The following is an 18,396-nucleotide window of genomic DNA, read 5'->3' as shown; positions in this document are numbered from 1 at the left end:
CCAGAATTATCCCCTACATTGTATGTTACTTACAATTCCTGGTTGTAAAATGGGATTGACATAAAATAATCATGTAGCTTTTTAGTGTAAAGTCTAAGAATCTCCAGTGGTCAGTAAGCAGTTTTGCAAAGTTGGCAACTCTAATAGACTGTAATATTATTTCTTCCCATTAGGCAACATTTGCAATATGGTTCCTACTAGTTTTACAAACTTGACCATCCTGAAGCAGCTGGAGGTCAGGGTTATACATTGGGACGGAATAAATAAATGAGTCCAGGGTTGAAGCAAAGACACTGACTACTGTAAATGCACTATAAGTGCAGGCTGTGTGAGATGGTATGGTACAAAAGAAGGTCCTATAAATGAAGATGGGCTTCTCAGCTCAGAGTGGTTACCTTGCTGAAATCATAGAGTTGAGGAGACATCAGAGAGATGGAACATGATATCGATATAGAATAAACAACATTGGAAAAATTTACTGCAGTGTGAGTGAGTGGAGTGCAGACTCTAGAGAAAGCACTCAGACACTGAGTTATGGCTGTGTTTCCTCTGCTTGAAAGGTTGATATGTGATGTTTCCTATAGCCCCAAGATTTTTTCCTTGGTCAAATCATTCTTGCAACATTAACTCAAAGATTTGATAAAAGTATAGCAGATTTAAAATAAATGAGACCCTAACCAAGGTGACTATGCAACGGATAAGCACCTTTAACTCCTTGTCAACATGATTTATTGAGTAATCAGTAACTGATACTGATGATATTCAGCTGCCCTAAGACAGCTGCATAAGACTATGCACCAGTAGGATGCCCTTGAGGAGATACATGACTAGTAAGGTAGAAAAACTGAAAAGACCCCAGAATTTAAATCTTTCCAGAGTGAGGTGGTCCATAGCTGCTCAGCCTTTTCTCTCATGCCCATTGTGGGGCCTGAATGTGGAGGAATTTTTGGACTTTAGAAGCTGCGCTTTTAAGTCAAACCAAGTTGCCCTGCATGTTGAGTTGTGGTCCTCCTACATGTATCCTTTCTGAAAGCTAAATAAAGTTGGCTCTGGGTATAGCTTTTTCTGTCTTGTGAGTTTGATTGTTACTCTGAACTTCAGGCCGCTGCTGCTGTTCAAGCTGAGAGCTTCAGATGCCATGATTCTTTTTGACTAGGAATTGGTTGTTAAAGCCTTTGGACTCTGTAAAGTATCAATGACCTTTCTTGTAATGCCTTTGTCAGTTCTAGTTTGCATTCCTCTTGATATTTTTGCAGCATGTTGAACTTAACCACCCTTCTCCTTTGGGTCTCTTTTCTCCTTCAATTCTGTGACATCGTTCTTGATCTTCTTTTATAAAGATGACACCATCTCTGTTGAGTATGCCTCCTCTTTCAGTATTCTTCTGAGGAGTAATCCTCTATGTCTTTTTGCCTCCTGGCTGCCAAAGACAGATGACCCATCCACAATGCTTATGTAAGTTTTTTATTGTTATGTAACAAATTACCACAACTTAGCAGCATAAAACAACACTCATTTATTATCACACAGTTTCCATAATTCAGGATTCTGGGAACAGCATAACTGGGTACTCTCACAAAGATAAAAGAAGATGAATATACTTATTACCCTGATTTGATCAGAATACATGGTATACACATATAATAACATCGCTGTGTATCCCATAAATATATACAATTACTCTGTGTCAATGAAAAATGGGGAAAAAAACAATAACAAGCCTGTCACAGTGGCTAGGACCTGTAATCCCAGCACTTTGGGAGGCTGAGGTGGGCAGATCACTTGAGGTCAGGAGTTCAAGATCCACCTGGTCAACATGATGAAACCATGTCTCTAATACAAATACAAAAATTAGCTGGGTGTGGTGGTGCACACCTGTAATCCCAGCTACTTGGGAGGCTGAGACAGGAGAATCGCTTGAACCCAGGAGGTGGAGATTGCAGTGAGCCTAGATCACACCACTCCACTCCAGCCTGGGTGACAGAGCAAGAATCCATTGCAAAAATAAAAATAAAAATAAAAACAAATTGTCAGCCAGGGCTGCAGTCTCACCTGACCCTTGGCACCCTCTTCCATATTCTCTCAGGTTGTTGACAGAATTCATTTTCTTGTGGTTATAGCATGCATGGAACTTCAGAGCCAGGAGGAAAGAGGGAGTCTCTGCAGCTGAGTCTTTCACCTCTAGATTCTTTTTTAAAGGGCTCAACTGATTAAGTCAGGCCCACATAGGATAATTTCCCTTTTGATTAAAGTCAAGTGATTAGGCATCTTAATTAAATCTGAAAAATTCCTTCATCTTTGCCATATTCTATTGGTTAGAAGCAAATTATAATTCATAAATATACTTAAAACCTTTGACCTGTATACCTTAAGTGTATAAACTACATGGTTCATGAATGATATCTCAATAGAGTTCTTTAAAAAAATAAAGTTCTGAGACAGGGAAAGAAATATAATCAAGTTACAAATCATATCCACATTCAAGGGTAGGGGATACTAGGGGGCAGGAATTATGAGGTTATATTAGAATTCTATCTGCCACAATACTAAAAGTACCATCTCTATGCTTGACATTTCCACTGAGCCCAAGGACCATATTTCCACTAGATTATCAGATTCCAAACACTAGATTAAATCTTCCCAGAGTGAGGTGTTCCACAGCTGCTCAGCCTTTTCTCTCATGCCCATTGTGGGGCCTGAATGTGGAGGAATTTTTGGACTTTAGAAGTTGTGCTTTTAAGTCAAACCGAGTTGCCCTGCATGTTGTGTTGTTTCAAATAGTTTGAAATAGGTTTCAAATAGTGCCTACCTGGCAGCTCTTGTTATAGTATTTCTCAGTTTTCAATGAAGTGTCCATGCATGAAATTTGTATATATATTTTAAAAAGCTTACAATAACAAATCCAAAAGCAAAGAATAACAGGAATAGAAGAATTACCTCCAAGTACAAGGCTGCTAGAGTTGGCTTGGTGAATCGGCAAATAAAAATACTAATATTCACTTGATTGGGGAGGGAGGGGACAAGAAAAACAGTAGATCTGCTGTCACAAAGAAAGGTAGAATATAATTTTACCATCCCCATATTCATATCCTGCCTATGGACCCAAAGTTTATGACAACCATGTACTTGGTGACTGTTCTTAAACACTTGAGTTCTGCTTTTGGTGTTACCAATGTACACTATTGCCCTTTTTTTTTTTTACATTTATTCAGAAATCAGGGCAAGACTTTTGCTTTCAGTATATCCTGAAAGCAACTGTATGTGAGTAAAATTTGTTAGAAACAGAAGGAAAGAGCAAGAATTCTAGTAAATTCTACGGAACTAGCTCAAAATAACAGACCTACTGAACTAGCTCAAAAATAATAGATTAAGCATCCAGGACTGTGACTGTTTGTATCGTATCAGTTTGGATGAGAATTTCTCTGATATATACAACCAGGTGTGTGAATGCTAGGATATCTATTCTTAATTTTACTAAATGTTGCTGATGCTTTCCACAACAACTATGTTAATTACACCCCCATCAACACTCAATGAAGTTTCTCATTTCTTGTAGTTTTCACCAAAATTTGCTAAAACCCTACTTTTAGATTTTTGTTAGTCAAATGGGTCTAACCTGGCATCTCATTGCTTTTAATTTTCTTCTCTCTGATTCCTACTAAGGCATATGTGGAAATCTTGATAACCAGTTAGACTTTTCCTCCTATGACATGTTTATTTATATTTTTACTCACGTTTATTTTGAGTTTCCTGGTTTTTGTAGTTAATTTTTATAAGTTTGTGATATATTCTAGATTAGGTCTGTTTCATAGAGCTTTCTCTGATTATGGAAATGTTCTATATCAAACTGTTTAACATGGTCCCCCCAGCCATCTGGCTAGGGAGTACTTAAAATATGGTTAGTTCAGTTGAGGGACTGAAATATAATTCTATGTAATTGATTTAAATTCAAATGTAAATAACCATATGTGACCAGTGACTATGTATTGAACAGTTTAGTTCTAGGTGATACTCTTGTGAGTTTTATGGATTGCAAATATCTTCTTCCAATCTCATATCTCTATTACTTTTGTTTAGAGTTGTAATTTGTTTAATATAAACTCTAAATTTTAAAGTAATGAAATCCATAAAATTTTATTGTCTAGTTTGTTAGGTTTTTTCCTTTGTATGAAGACATTAAGAACATTTCCCATCCTTAGATCCAATAATGTTTTCTTTATTTATGCTTTAGTTTTTATTATATCTTTACTTCTGATTTCTTTGGGTTGAATTTTCCTGTTTTTCTTTTTTTGTTAAAGTGAAATGTTAGGTTATTAATTTTAGATTTTTCTTCTTTTTAAATATAGGCATTTATAGCTATAAATTATCTTCTAAGTACTGCTTTGGCTGCATCCCATAACTTTCAGTATGCTGTATTTTCATTTTTACTCATCTCCAAGTATTTAATCATTTAAGCAATTTCTTTTACTATCCATTATTTAACACTGTGCTGTGTAATTTCCATATGTTTGTGAATTTTGTGATTGATTTCTAATTTTATTTTTGATGAGAAAGCATACTTTTTGGAAGGTTTAATCATTATAAAGTTTTATTGAGGCCTGTTCTATGGCCTATATATGGTTTAAGTTGAATAATGTTCCAAATGCATTGAGAAGAATGTATAGTAGTTTGCCTACCCACAGTTTCACTCTCTGAAGTTTCAGTTACCTATGATGCAGTATGATATTTAGAGAGACAGAGAGAGAGAGACAGAGAGAGAGACCATATTTATATAACTTTTACTACAATATATTGTTATAATTGTTCTATTTTATTAGTCATTATTGATAATCTTTTACTGTGCCTAATTTATAAATTAAACTTCATCATAGGCATGTACATATAGGAGAAAAACACAACATATATAAGGTCCAGTAGTATTATCAGTTTCAGGCAACCACTGGGAGTCTTGAGACACATCCCCTGCAGATAAAGGGGACTATTGCGTATTTTGCAGTTTTTGGGTAGAATGTTTTACATCTATCTATGAGGTTTATATTAATAGTTCATTTATAATGTTGTTCAACTTTTCCACATCTTTGCTGATCTTCTGCCAGTTATTCCATCCATTATTGAAAGTGAAGTACTGAGTTCTCCAACTATTGTTATTCAGCTGTCTATTTCTTCTTTCAGTTCTGTTTTTCCTTAAGGCATTTTTGGACTCTTTTGCTAGGTGGATATAGGTTTATAATTTTTATGTCTTAAATAATAGACTATTTTATTATTATAAGATGTTCTTTTTTGCCTCTAGTAACAATTTGTCTTAAAGTATATTTTGTCTGATGTTATTATAGCCACTGCATGGCTATTTGGGTACTAATGAATCATATATCTTTTTTCCTAGCATTTTAGTTTTAACCTGTTTGTGTCTCTGAATTTGAAGTTTTTCTCTTGTGGACAGTGTATAACATATATTGGAATCTGTTTCTTGTTAATTCTTTTAAATTTAATTTTAATTTACTTTTTAAAAGGTATATATTCAATAAATATATTTATTTTCTTTTGAATAAAGTGTCAATTTAATTTACTTTTAACTTAATTATGGATAGGGTAGTCATTATGTCTGATGTTTTACTTGCTTTATATGGCTTACATCTGGGTTTTTTTTAGTTTTTCGATTTTATCATTACTGGTTTGTTTTCTGTTAGATATTTTCTAGTATATCATTTTAATTTCCCTGTGATTTACTTTAACATTTGTTCTTGAACTGTTTCTTAGTGATTTCCCTAGGGTTTATAATTAACATCTAATTTAAAGCAATGTGGTTTAGACTAATAAAAACTTAATTTATAATAAATAGTATACAAATATTTGCTCTGACATAACTCTTTCTCATGGTATGTTTGTGCTATTTGCATCCAAAATACATCTTTATGCATTATAAGCCCTTTTACATAATTGACAATTATTGAGTTGTGTAGCTGTCTCATATTGAATAGGAGAAGAAAAGTGTTTTAAAAAAATATATATTTATATTATTTTTATTTTTGCATTTAATGGTGTTCAGTTTTTCTTTTTAAAATTAAAAACAAATTTGTGGGTATACTGTAAGTGTATATATTTATGGGGTACATGAGATGTTTTGATATGGGCATATGTACGGTATGAAATAAGCACATTATGGGGAATGGCATATCTATCCCCGGAGTATTCATTTTTCTTTATAAGGATTCAAGTTACTGTTTAGTGACCTTTCATATTAGCCCTAGGGATCTCCTTTAATATTTTTTATACTGCTAGTGGTAAATTCTCTCAGTTTTCTCTGTGTCTTAATTTCTCTATTATTTTTGAAAAATAGTTTTGCTAGACACAGAAGTCTTAGTTGATAGTGTTTTTCTTTTCATGGTTTCTGCTGAGAAGTCTTTTGTTAATCTCACTGAGTACTGATTACACATGATGACTTGCTTTTCTCATGCTGCTTTCAAGGGTCTTTATTTTTCAACAGTTTGACTGTAATGTGTCTCAGTGTGGATCTCCTTAGTTTATTCTACACGGTGTTCATTGAACTAATTGGATATGTAGATTAATGTTTGTCATAAAATTTGGTAAGTTTTTGACCATTATGTCCTCAAATATTTTTATACCCCTTTTTCTCTTGCCCCTCATTCTGGCACTCTGAATATGTGTAAAATAGTGTGCCTGATGAGGTTCTACAGATTTCTGAAGCTCTACTTATTTATTTTTCTTATATTTTCTTTTTGACCTTCAGACTGGATACTCTCAATTGATTTTTCTTCAAGTTAACCGATTTTTTCTTTTCGACAGTTCGCATCTGCAGCTGAACTGCTCTAGGGAATTTTTTAATTTCAGTTATTGTACTTTTTAACTTTCCATTTGATTATTTTAAATAATTTCTAACTCTTTATTGATATTCTCTATATAGCAGCTATGAGAGGAAAATACATCTTGGAACCCCAAAATCACTAAGCCAAAGGGAAAAGTCAAGCTGGGAGCTGCTTAGGGACAACCTGCCTCCCATTCTATTCCTAAAAACGATAGCTACTAAGATAAAAAAGCTACATACCTCCCTCACAAGGAATTTCCTTGTAGACAAAGGACAATCAGAACTCAAAGTCACCCCTCTGCTCACTGAGATAAATGCGTATCTGACTGTCTCCTTAAGAAAGGCTAATCAGAAACTCAAGAGAATGCAACCATTTGTCTCTTATCTATTTATGACCTGGAAGACCCCTCCCTGCTTTGAGTTGTCCTGCCTTTCTGGACCAAACCAATGTACATCTTACATATATTGATTGATGTCTCATATCTCCCTAAAATGTATAAAACCAAGCTGTGCTCCAACCACTTTGGGCACATGTCATGAGGACCTCCTGAGGCTATGTCATGGGGGACATCCTTAACTTTGGCAAAATAAACTTCCTAAATTGACTGAGACCTGTCTCAGATATTTGGGGGTTCACATAGGGAATCATTCTCATCCTTTACTTCTTTACACAAGGTTTCCTTTAGTTATTTGAATATATTTCTAATAGTGAATGTCAGTTCTTTATCTAGTAAGTCTGACATCTAGGCTTTCTCAGGGACCATTTCTATTGACTTTTCTCATATGTATAGGCCTATTTTCTTGTTTCTTTGAGTGTCTCATCTTTATTATTGAAAACTGGACATTTAAAATGATGTAATTTTTAAATTATAGAAAGAAGATGATCACCCCCACACACCTGGGCTTGTTGTTACTGCTGTTTGTTCGTTTATTGACTTATCTGGACTATTATGTAAAGTCTGTATTCTTTGTTGTGTGTGGTCTATGATATTTCTATTTGGTTACCTTCTTGGTCAGTTAATGATTGGTTAGAGAACATCTTAAATGCTTTGAACCAATATGTGTTGGGTACATTTCAGTGCTTTGGTAGGCAGTTTAAAACCCTGCCTTAGACTTCTCTTTTTGCTGTCTACAGCCTTAAGGTCTGATAGCAATGAGAGCTTAGTGTCTACTCAAATCTTACCTGATATAGGCCATGAGCACAGCCCTGCATACATGAATGACTTCTAATTCCCAGGAATATGTGAAAGCTTTGCAAAGTTTCCTATGGATATTTCACTTTTCAGTGCTTTAAAAAAAAATCAGCCTCTTATCCTCAACTGGCAATGCTGCATCAGGCAGCTATAATGTTAATCAGTTGTCATTATTTATTTTTTCTATAAATGCCCTTCTAGTATGGCTGTTTGCACTAAGCTAACTCTGAGTCTGGTCAAATAAAGACAGTGAGCTGTCATAAATAGTGAACATTCTTTGGGAATGAGGCATGTGATGGATGTGATGGGCTAAATTCAGTTCTACCTCTTCCAATGGCTCATAGTCTACCATAGTTGCAAGAATGTTGGTTTTCAAGGTCACTAAAGAGCTGGAAAGGGAGATAAAATTTGGACATACTAAACCATCACAAAGCTTATTGTTTTTATAGGATTCAACTTTTTTTCTTTTTTTTTTTTTAACTAAACACTTCTCAGATTGTGGCAGACTTTTGCATACTTTCCAGAATTTTTAAAAAGTTGATTTTGACAGGTTTTTTTTTGAGGTTTTTTTGGGGCCAATATCCCTGTTATTGTTATGGAAGGGTAGGTTTTCAGAGATCTTTGTTCTTCCATTCCAATAGTTGAACCTGATTCTTATCTTTTTCTTTAGAAAATTTTCTAGTGTCATTCAGATGTGGCTAGGCTACTTCTCAATTCTTGTAATTAGCATTATTATTGTAGTAATGTAGTACAGCTACCATCCAGTCTCCAGGAGCTGTGATACCCTGTTTATTGTCCTCATACTGGCAGCATCAAAAGTAGCTAAAAATTTGTTTAAATGGAAACTCTTGGGACCCAACCCAGACCTACTGAATAAAAAACTCAGGTGGTTTGACACTGTAGACTATAGGCATGAGTTACTTTTAAAGTTTGTCTGAACTTGGAAAGGATTTGGAAGTAGCATAAATTTGAAAAATCATGCTTTATATGGTAGGTGGTTCACATGAAGAATAGCTGATGTTGGGAGTCAAAGGTTATTGCTAGGAAAAGGCATACAGACAAATCATAGTTTACTACAGCTCGTCCGTATCCCATTGTGACTAGTTTTTAGTTACAGGCCTGCTTATTTCCCAAATCTTCTAAACAATTTTAGCAATTGCAGTACAGTTTTACTCTTCCCCACCTCTTTTCTCTTAACCTTATTTTCATAAAATATCATAGAGAATTATCTTTCTACCATTAATTGGGATAAAAGACTGAGACTTAGAGCCAAGAGAATTTTAACTAGAAGCTTTCTGGTTCTTTAGTTAGCCCTAGGGGCATTACATATCCACTCGTCCATCTATTTATTCATCCACTTATTCATTTGTTCCACAAGTTCTTGTTGAAGGAAAAGATGTGGAATTCTGGACCTAGATTCAAAGGGAAATGAAGGTATTAGGAAGATACATGAAGTCTGGGAAACGTAATGAGACACTGTCTCTACAAGAAATTATAAAAAAAATAAACAGACTTGGTGGCACTTGTTGTCCTAGCTACTCAGGAGGCTGAGGTGGAAGGAGCTTGAGCCCAGGAGTTTGAGGTTAGAGTGAGCTATGATCATGCCACTGCACTCCAGACTGGACAACAAAGTGAGACCTTGTCTCTAAAAAAATAAAAAATAAAAATGAAAAAATTTAACAAACAGACTTGAGAGCCAGTTGCATAGAGATGAACACGAAAGACTGAAGACTTCTCTGCAAAAGAGAAGGAAAATAAAAACGTATAAAGAATGAATCTTGAGGAATGCTCAGATTTGAAAGGATGAGGGAAAAAGCTGTTATTTAAAAACAAAGCCCACTTGGTTAGTAATGGGATCTTTCTTGTGAAAGATATACCCTGCAGAGGTGAGAAAATTTGACTTCCTCAAAGAATACTGATTTTCTCAAAATGTTGTCCTTGGCTGGAAAAGGAAGGGTGGGTATATGAAGAGAAGGTGATTAAGGGGTACCAAAATACAGTTAGATAGAAGAAATATAGTCTAGTATTTGACAGTATAGTAGGGAAATTATAGTTAATGATAATTTTTTGTATATTCCAAAATAATTACATGAGAATTATAATGTTTCCAACACAAAGAAAAGATAAATGTTTGAGGCAATAAATATTCCAATTACCCTGACAAAATCATTATACATTGTATACATGTATCAAAATATCACATGTATCCCAAAATATGAACAACTCTAGTATATCAATAAAAATATGTAGTCCCTGGACCAGCAGTGTCAGCATATCTGGGAAACTGTTAGAAATACAAAGCCTCACCCAGCCTACCAGATCAGAAATCTGGGAGTGAGTCCCAGAAATCCATTTTTTGACAAGCTTTCCCAGTGATTCGGATGTACACTTAAGCTTGAGAACCACTGCTATAACAAATTACATCCCGTGGTCTACAGAGGTAATCCACAGGGATTCTTAAATTCTTGTGGAGAGCAACATGCTGATTAGGAAAGAGATTGTTATTTTTTGCCCAATTTTAATGGCTTGTTTTGAATATTCTCTCCATTTATTAATTGAGGAGAAAAGTATCAACCTAAACTCCGGGTTTTGCCAGGCAGAAAGTTGGTATAATATTTATTATTATTAGAAATCATAGCATCAGGAAAGCCTTAAAACATATGAAGAGCTTCTTAAATAAGTCCTGAATTATTTCAAATGAGATCAATCCATGTTGAGCTTTCAATTAGAAAAGTGAAATTTTATAGTTATGGATTGGGTTGGAAGACAGTCGAACCTAATCTTCTGTGTCCAAAATCTCCTTCTTCAGTGAGCAACAAAAAGAAATGAAGCTCAAATGAATGTCCCTAAAGTCTTGTGGGAAACTCAATAATAAAAGAAAAATTCAATGCTTGTAATCCCAGCACTTTGGGAGGCCGAGGCGGGCAGATCGCCTGAGGTCAGGAGTTCGAGACCAGCTTGGCCAACATAGTGAAATCCCGTCTCTACTAAAAATATAAAAATTAGCCTGGCATGTTGGCAGGCACCTGTAATCCCAGCTACTCAGGAGGCTGAGACAGGAGAATCACTTGAACCCAGGGGAAGTTGCAGTGAGCCAAGATTGCACCATTGTACTCCAGCCTAGGAGACAAGAAACTCTGTCTCAAAAAAAAAGAAAAAGAAAAATTCAATTATATATTGAACTCACTAAGGGATAAAAATACTTTGGACATATTAGAATGATTCCAAAAAATAAAACAACAAACTCTTGACTGGTTAAACCAGAATTCCTGCATGTATACTTCACATATTAGAAAACAGGAAACACATAATGCTGTGTCAGACCGTAAATGTGAAATATAATAACTCCCAGTTACATTAATGGCTATGGTTAAGTGAGTGTGTACTATGTGCTAGTCTTTGTGTTAAGATTGTTATTTGTCACACGGAGGCCTGCCAAGAGGCCTGTTATAATTTCCATTTCACAGACAGCACTCCAGCCTGGGTGACAGAGCGAGACACTGTCTGAAAAAAATCAAAATTAAAAAAGTAAAACATATCAAGCTCTTGATTCCATCTTATCAGAGATCCTGTGAGAACACATTTCTAAGTCCTCAGATAGGAATGCTTTAAACCTTCCAGAGCTGATGAAACTTTCTCTCTTGATACTTTTATAATTATTAATCACATAGCTAAAGATAGGAAATGGACTTCTCTCTGGATGTACCAAGAGTCTTATTCCTGGGGTACATTTGGAATGTTAATGGAAAAGTAAGAAATTACAGATTAAATTTCCATAGGGTGCTAAGGCAACATTCAAAAATTTTCTCTTCTGCACATTATTTCTGGCATTTTACATGAAAATATTCTCACTCATAGGTGGGAATTGAACAATGAGAACACATGGACACAGGAAGGGGAACATCACACACCAGGGACTGTTGTGGGTTGGGGGGAGGGTGGAAGGATAGCATTAGGAGATATACCTAATGCTAAATGATGAGTTAATGGGTGCAGCATAACAACATGGCACATGTATACATATGTAAAAAACCTGCACGTTGTGCACATGTACCCTAAAACTTAAAGTATAATAATAATAAAAAAGAAAATATTGTCAATATTTTCACGACAAAGAAAGGCCTTAGGAAAGGTGACTTAGAGACAAAATAGTTAGGACATAGCATCGTGGTGACCTTAGCTACCACTCCGTAATTTGGGAGTTACTTATAGTATTTATCTTGAAGGGTGGTTGTAAGTATTGCACTAGGCTACACAGGTAAAACCCTTAGCAACGAATCTATCACAGAGGCATGGTTAATAACTGTTAATTATCATTGTCATCATTGTTGCCATTGTCCCATCTTTATCATGGGTTTGCACAAACCCAAAGAGCCTTCACACATGGCCCACAGTGATCTTCCCTCATTCACAGTAGTCAATGTAACCTCTTACTAAATAAGTGATAGTGTCTATTTGGACTGGGGTATGATCCTCAGGACCCATAAACAAGGCATGAGGGTCTTGTTTGGCCTTTTTTACATTTAGCATACAAAAAAAATTTTTTTAAGTAAAACGAAAGCTCTTTTGCTATCAGACATTTGATGAACTATGTAATTCAGGCTTTGGCCAAAGGGTAGGATATGTGTACTACTGAGTGTCACTGTGTTTTAGAAATTGATGTCCTGCAGGGTCAGAAGGGTACTCCTGAGTGAGGTCAGAGATCTGATTTACCAGTTGATGCCCTTGGGCAGAGGGTATTTTGATCTTAGTGTGCTGCATTAACTCTACCCCCAGGTTGATTTTCCAAAACCAATGTCCTCAGACACTTTCCAAAGTGCTCATTCCTTCTTTCTCCCTCTTTTGTAATGTATTTTTGATTGTTAGGTTTCTGTTACGTATTTACCATCCAATCAATAAACATTAGCCAGTTTATTAGTGAAACAGGCTTGATTTCATGATGTTACTCACAGAAGGCTCTTATTTATCATTCTAGTCCACAAAAGTTCACAGCTGATGCAATATACAGTCTAAGCAGCTGTGCTGCCAGGAGCAGTTCCTATGCCTGAGGCTCCCCTTCAGGTCACAGTGAATGAGCACAGAAGAAACTCAGTGATTGTCAGAGAGAAACGAAAACAAACAAACAAACAAAAAGAAACAAACAAATAAAAACAAAAAATGTGTCCAGAGTCTGGCCTTGAGTGCAGATTTAATGCACGTAAAAGCCTCTTTCTCCCCGTGAACTCCCCATTGGTGAGTGTACGTGACCACTCATCCCCCACGTTAATCATGAGTGCAAAGCTGTGTGCCTGTATCTAGAGGCCGCAATGGGAAGTGGCACTCAGATAATGGGATTCCTGTCAGCAATTGAACTAAATGACTCAGGTCAGTGGCCTCTTTGTTAGAACTGGGGCCAGGAGGAGCTAAATGACCCTGAGCAGGGAAGGTGGCGCCTGAGAGTCTAGGCAGCCCTGCAGGGTTGGACAGACATCAGGGAATTGAAGCCGATCCTGCAGGGAGCCAGGCTTTTGGGCCATTCAAACCTATTTCTGATGTAAAACTATTAGTTCTTGATTGGAGCTGTGATGGAGAATAGGGGTGAGCTGAATTTTAGTAGCACGGAAACCCTACAAAGTATGTCCACATTCCTGCTTGTGACCTCCAGCCCATTGTAGGAAATTCAGAGCTTCGGAGAGCAGCTTTTTTTTTTTTTTTTTTTTCTCTGTGAACATCTTCTTTTATCCTACTGCTACTGATATGCATATTTTATATGTCTGGAGGAGCTTACTCTAGATGAGTGGCTGGCAAACTTGCTACAAAGGGCCAGATGGTAAATATTTTAGACTTTGTGGTTATACAGTCTCTGCCACAACGACTCAATTCTGCCAGTGTAGTGTGAGAGAAGCCATAGGCAAAACATAAACAAATGAGTGAGGCTGTGTTCGAATCATACTTTATGTATAAAAGCAGGCAGTAGTCAGATTTTGGCCCACAGGCCACAGTTTGCAGAACTTTGCACTTGACGCTGGTTTTGCTTACCAAGCTGTTTTCCTACTAACAGTCATAGAGGACCAACATGTAAATCCATGGTGCTTTTTGATATTGATGCTGCTACCTGGTGTTCTAGTCTCATGAGTGGCCTCCTTTGATGCACATGAGTAAGGATGGGACGGTGCTTGAGGCACAGCTATGACCAGTACCACCTTTCTACTGGTCCCAACCTTAAAGGGGAATTTTCTTCAGTGAGTTTTTGGCTTAAGATGAGGCTTCCCCAAGTTTTGATCATATCCTTATCCAAATCTCCCTGCTGTAGTTCAAAACTCAGGTCAGGATTTTCATGAAGCCGCTTGAAGAAGTATTGAGATTTTCCCAGTTGCATTTACAGAGGTGATAAAGAGATGGAATATATTCAGAGTTGATAATTTCAGCTAACTGGAGATTCCACGAAATGCCATTTAACTAAAAGCTATTCATTTGAAAGAACTGATTTCTATTACTGATGATTTCATCCTTCAGAAAATTATAAAAATAAGGTCCTACTGCATAGGATATCATTAAGAGTAATAAGGAAAAAACAGGTTGGAAATGTAAGTCAACATGAAAGTTGGGGAGAAATGATATCATTGGAGATTTCCATTGTATTCATGAATAGTTGAGTAGAGTCAAAAAAATAACCTGAGAAAGCAGAGTCTTTCCCAAAAAAGAAAACCTTAAAAAGATGAATTTGTGGAAAATAAAGATAAAAACAGTTTTTGTTTTTCACAGCTTGGGCAAGAAAATTAACAAACAAACAAAAACTGGCCTGATATTTGATTAAATGATGAAAACGACTCATAAGGAGATCATACTTTCTTCCAGATAGATCACACAGGTAAACTAAAATAGTGATTCAAAAAATAGTAACCATGGATTTCAGAGAAAACATTGATCCTTTTCTGAGGTTTTACCTGTCTTCTACTTTAGTGTATTTTTGAGATTTTTTGGAGATCCTGTGCCTTGAGGATTTTTGTTAAAAGAACACGGTTTTGAACCTCACCCCAAAATTACTGAGTTAGAATTTCTAGGTATGGGGACTAGGATATCTGTGATGTTAATGGACATTTTAGTAAATCTCAGTCATACTGAAGTGTGAGAAGCACCAGCAATCCCATCACCTTGGCCAAAACCTTCTCTCATTCATTGGGCAAGTGTTTGGAAAAGACACTGTTATGGATTGACTTGTTTCCCCACAAAATTCATATGTTGGAGCTCCAGTTTCAATGTTAATATATCCTTGAAAGAGGTAATTAAAGTTAAATGAGGTCATGAGGGTTGCAGCCCTAATCCAATTGGACTGGTGTTCTTAGAGGAAGAAATCTGGACACACACAGAGACACCAGGGAAGTGAGCGCACAGAGGAATGATTATGTGTGAGGATGCAGCAAGATGGCCATCTGCAAGCCAGGAAGAGAGGCCTCAGGAGAAACCAATCCTTTGGACACCTTGATCTAGGACTTCCAGCCTTTACAACTGTGAAACAATAAAATTTTGTTGTTTAAACTACCCCATCATGTGGTATTTTGTATGGCAGCCCTGGCAAACTTATATGAAGGACAATCAGATTGCTGGGTTTGAAATCCACCTGTTGAACTCCATCACTGTACAATGTTGGGCAAGTTATTTGTCTAAGACTCATTTTCCTCATCTATAAAATCAAGATAATGATAGTGCCCACTTCATCAGTTTTTTGAGGTGATTAAATGAAATGCAGGAGACGCTGGAACCATGCAGGGGTTAGGGGTGCCATCCCCCAACAGTTGAAAGTCCACATATAATTTTTGACTCCCACAGCCTACTGTTGGCTGGAAACCTTACTGATAACATAAGCAGTCCATTAACACATCTTTTTTATATATACTGTATTCTTAGTTAATATTTTAACTAAATTCTTACAATAAAGTAAGAGAAAACAAACTGCTATTAAGAAAATAAAGAAAGAAAATATATTTACTATCCATTAAGTGGAAGTGGATCATGATAAAGGTCTTATCCTTCTTGTCTCCATGTTGAGTAGGCAGAGGAGGAGGAGAAGGAGGAGGGCTTGGTCTTGTTGTCTTTGGGTGGCAGAGTGGAAGAAAATCCATGTGTAAGTGAGCTCACAAAATTAAAACCCATATTTTTCAAGGGTCAACTGTAATCCATTCTAAGAACTCCAAAAATGCTTGCAGAAGTGAAGTTCATGATGCTGGGTGCACCTTTTGCAGAATCCGGAGGAAGGCAGAGGAATGGGGAAAGTAGGCAATGGTGAATACCAAAGTGGGGATCAGAACCTCCTCACTCCTTGACTTTGCTTTTCTACTTTCCTCTCTTTTTTTCTACCTTTTTAGTCACCAATTTCTCTGGACCCCTCCTTAAGAACTTCTATCTTTTTCATTGACTAAGTAATCAATCAATGCATCAATCACACATTCTTTCATTTATTCGTTGAGCAGAGTGGTTGAGCACCAGTCTTTTTGGAGAGCACAGAGGTAGAATAAGATCATGGTTTCACTCCTTGAGACACGACACAGGTGACATTTCTGCACTATTATTGATGGTTTACAAGGATCCATGATATACATTTTCAAGTTTGGATGCTACAACCATCGTGGAAGATAGACCAAATAGGTATCATTCCTATTTCCATATGTGAAAACCAGGGCTAGTTACTGCATAGCTATTAGCTGGGTTTGCTTGAATGGGAACTTACTCTGACGCCACTGAACAATGTTGAAGTGTTACTAAAGTGGCAGCCACATCAAGCTGTGTGTGACAAGTGCTGTAAGAAAACTGTTGACCCACTACTGTGGCTTAAGGTGGAAAAAATTCATGTCTGGATGAAGTAATCAAGAAAGGTATAACGGAGGAGGTGAGATTAAAACTGCAATTTGAAGAAAGAGAAGAAAATTCTAATTTTGTTTTCTTAATCTGAAAAAGAGAAATCCCGTAAGTCTGGGGTTTGAAGTGAATTCATATGTCACAAAGAGTAGATGTGTTATGCTTCAGATCATCTATCTCATTGCAAATAAATAAGTGAAATTCAATATAATTATCCACCAGGTTCTGTTTAGTTGTTTGTTTATTGCTATTTAAGCAATCAAGTTTTAAATAAAACATGGGAAGAGAAATGCAAAGTGCTGCCAAAAGAGATGAATCAAACTTAATTAGTTTCCAAATACACACCTTTTATTCAGGCCCCCACCAGGCTTTCTCTTGGGTCCCTGTCAATGTGAAGAATGGGGAATGACCAAGTTGATGAAGATACTCAGAGGGCAGAGATAAACAGGTGCACTTCCAAGAGTTGAGAGAGAAAGAATGGTTTTGCTGGTGGCTGATAAAATTAGACTTTTATATATTTTAAAGGAGTAGGTACTGCTTCCTAGAATGCTTATTCTGAAGTAATCATAAAAATAATTAGCCACTTTACATAATCATTATCAGTTGATGATATAATTGTGTAGTAATAGAAGGCATACCATTGATTATTATCCCGCAGATGAAAAAACACATTTTACTCTAAATTAGTCTCATTCAAAGCAGAAAAAAACAAAAAACACATAGCTGAACCGTGATGTAATGTTAGAAACCTTTTAATCTATGCCACTTTTTCTTTGATGTTTGTTTAAAAATCCTAAGCCAATTCATTCATGTTGTGTAAGTTATGATGGCAGACTGAGATCAGCTTCCTCATTTTCTGTGCATGACACTCATATGACTTTGGGAGAATACAAAACTTCTATTGAATAAATTGGCCCTTGTTTATTCTCTATTAAACTGAAAACAACAATAATTCACCATTAACAAAACATATACTGATTCGGCACAAATATTTTTAAATTTATAAAATGTGCAAAAGTCTTTCTTTTGTTTGTTTATGAACATTGCTTAGTGCTGCAGATTCTCCCCCATGCTTTTTATCTGTGAAGTGCAGTAGTTAATTTACATATTTCTAGTCTCATGAAAATTTAAGGGTGTAAGACCAAGTGACTGATGTCTGCTTGACATTCAGGCTGCAAACAGCCCTAGATCAATCAAATTTTTGTTATTTTTCTGTTTATTTTAACCATATGATTGATTAAATTAGTATATCCAATTGGAAACCTTTATAGCAAGTTAGATTTGTACTTCAGGGAAATAATGTAGACCCTTATGGTGATTTTTAAAAAACAAAGCACATATTTTTGTTTGTATTCTTTTGGTATCAACATGTTCTCCCAAATTCTTCTTTAAAAGATAATGGTGTTAATGACATATCTGTCTATGTAAATACCTGGAGAATTTCCAAATAAGACTATTCTTTTTAATTTTGAACTTTCTATGTATCTGTGCACTGTGTAACCCCAAATGGCAAACCAGGTTAAATGTGGTAGTGTTCACCTTGGC

At 36.1% G+C, this 18,396-nt stretch overlaps 1 protein-coding gene across 1 annotated transcript in view, besides 1 other annotated feature; it reads right to left on the bottom strand.

Moving 5' to 3' along the window:
* Window positions 1–18,396, bottom strand: part of CTNNA2 (catenin alpha 2) — a 1,463,404-nt gene that overhangs the window by 1,241,437 nt on the left and 203,571 nt on the right. The window lies entirely within an intron of this gene.
* Window positions 13,020–13,587: an enhancer, noted in NCBI's record as "NANOG hESC enhancer chr2:79620883-79621450 (GRCh37/hg19 assembly coordinates)". NCBI's record gives its function as "activates a minimal SCP1, AML or CMV promoter by ChIP-STARR-seq in primed H9 embryonic stem cells {active_cell/tissue: H9 hESC(primed)}" and the evidence as "EXISTENCE:reporter gene assay evidence [ECO:0000049][PMID:30033119]".

This window comes from Homo sapiens, chromosome 2 (assembly GCF_000001405.40).
Source record: "Homo sapiens chromosome 2, GRCh38.p14 Primary Assembly".
In the NCBI taxonomy this organism is placed as follows: Eukaryota; Metazoa; Chordata; class Mammalia; order Primates; family Hominidae; genus Homo; species Homo sapiens.
Note: the sequence above shows the minus strand (reverse complement) of the source record. Positions and strands in the feature narration are given on the sequence as shown.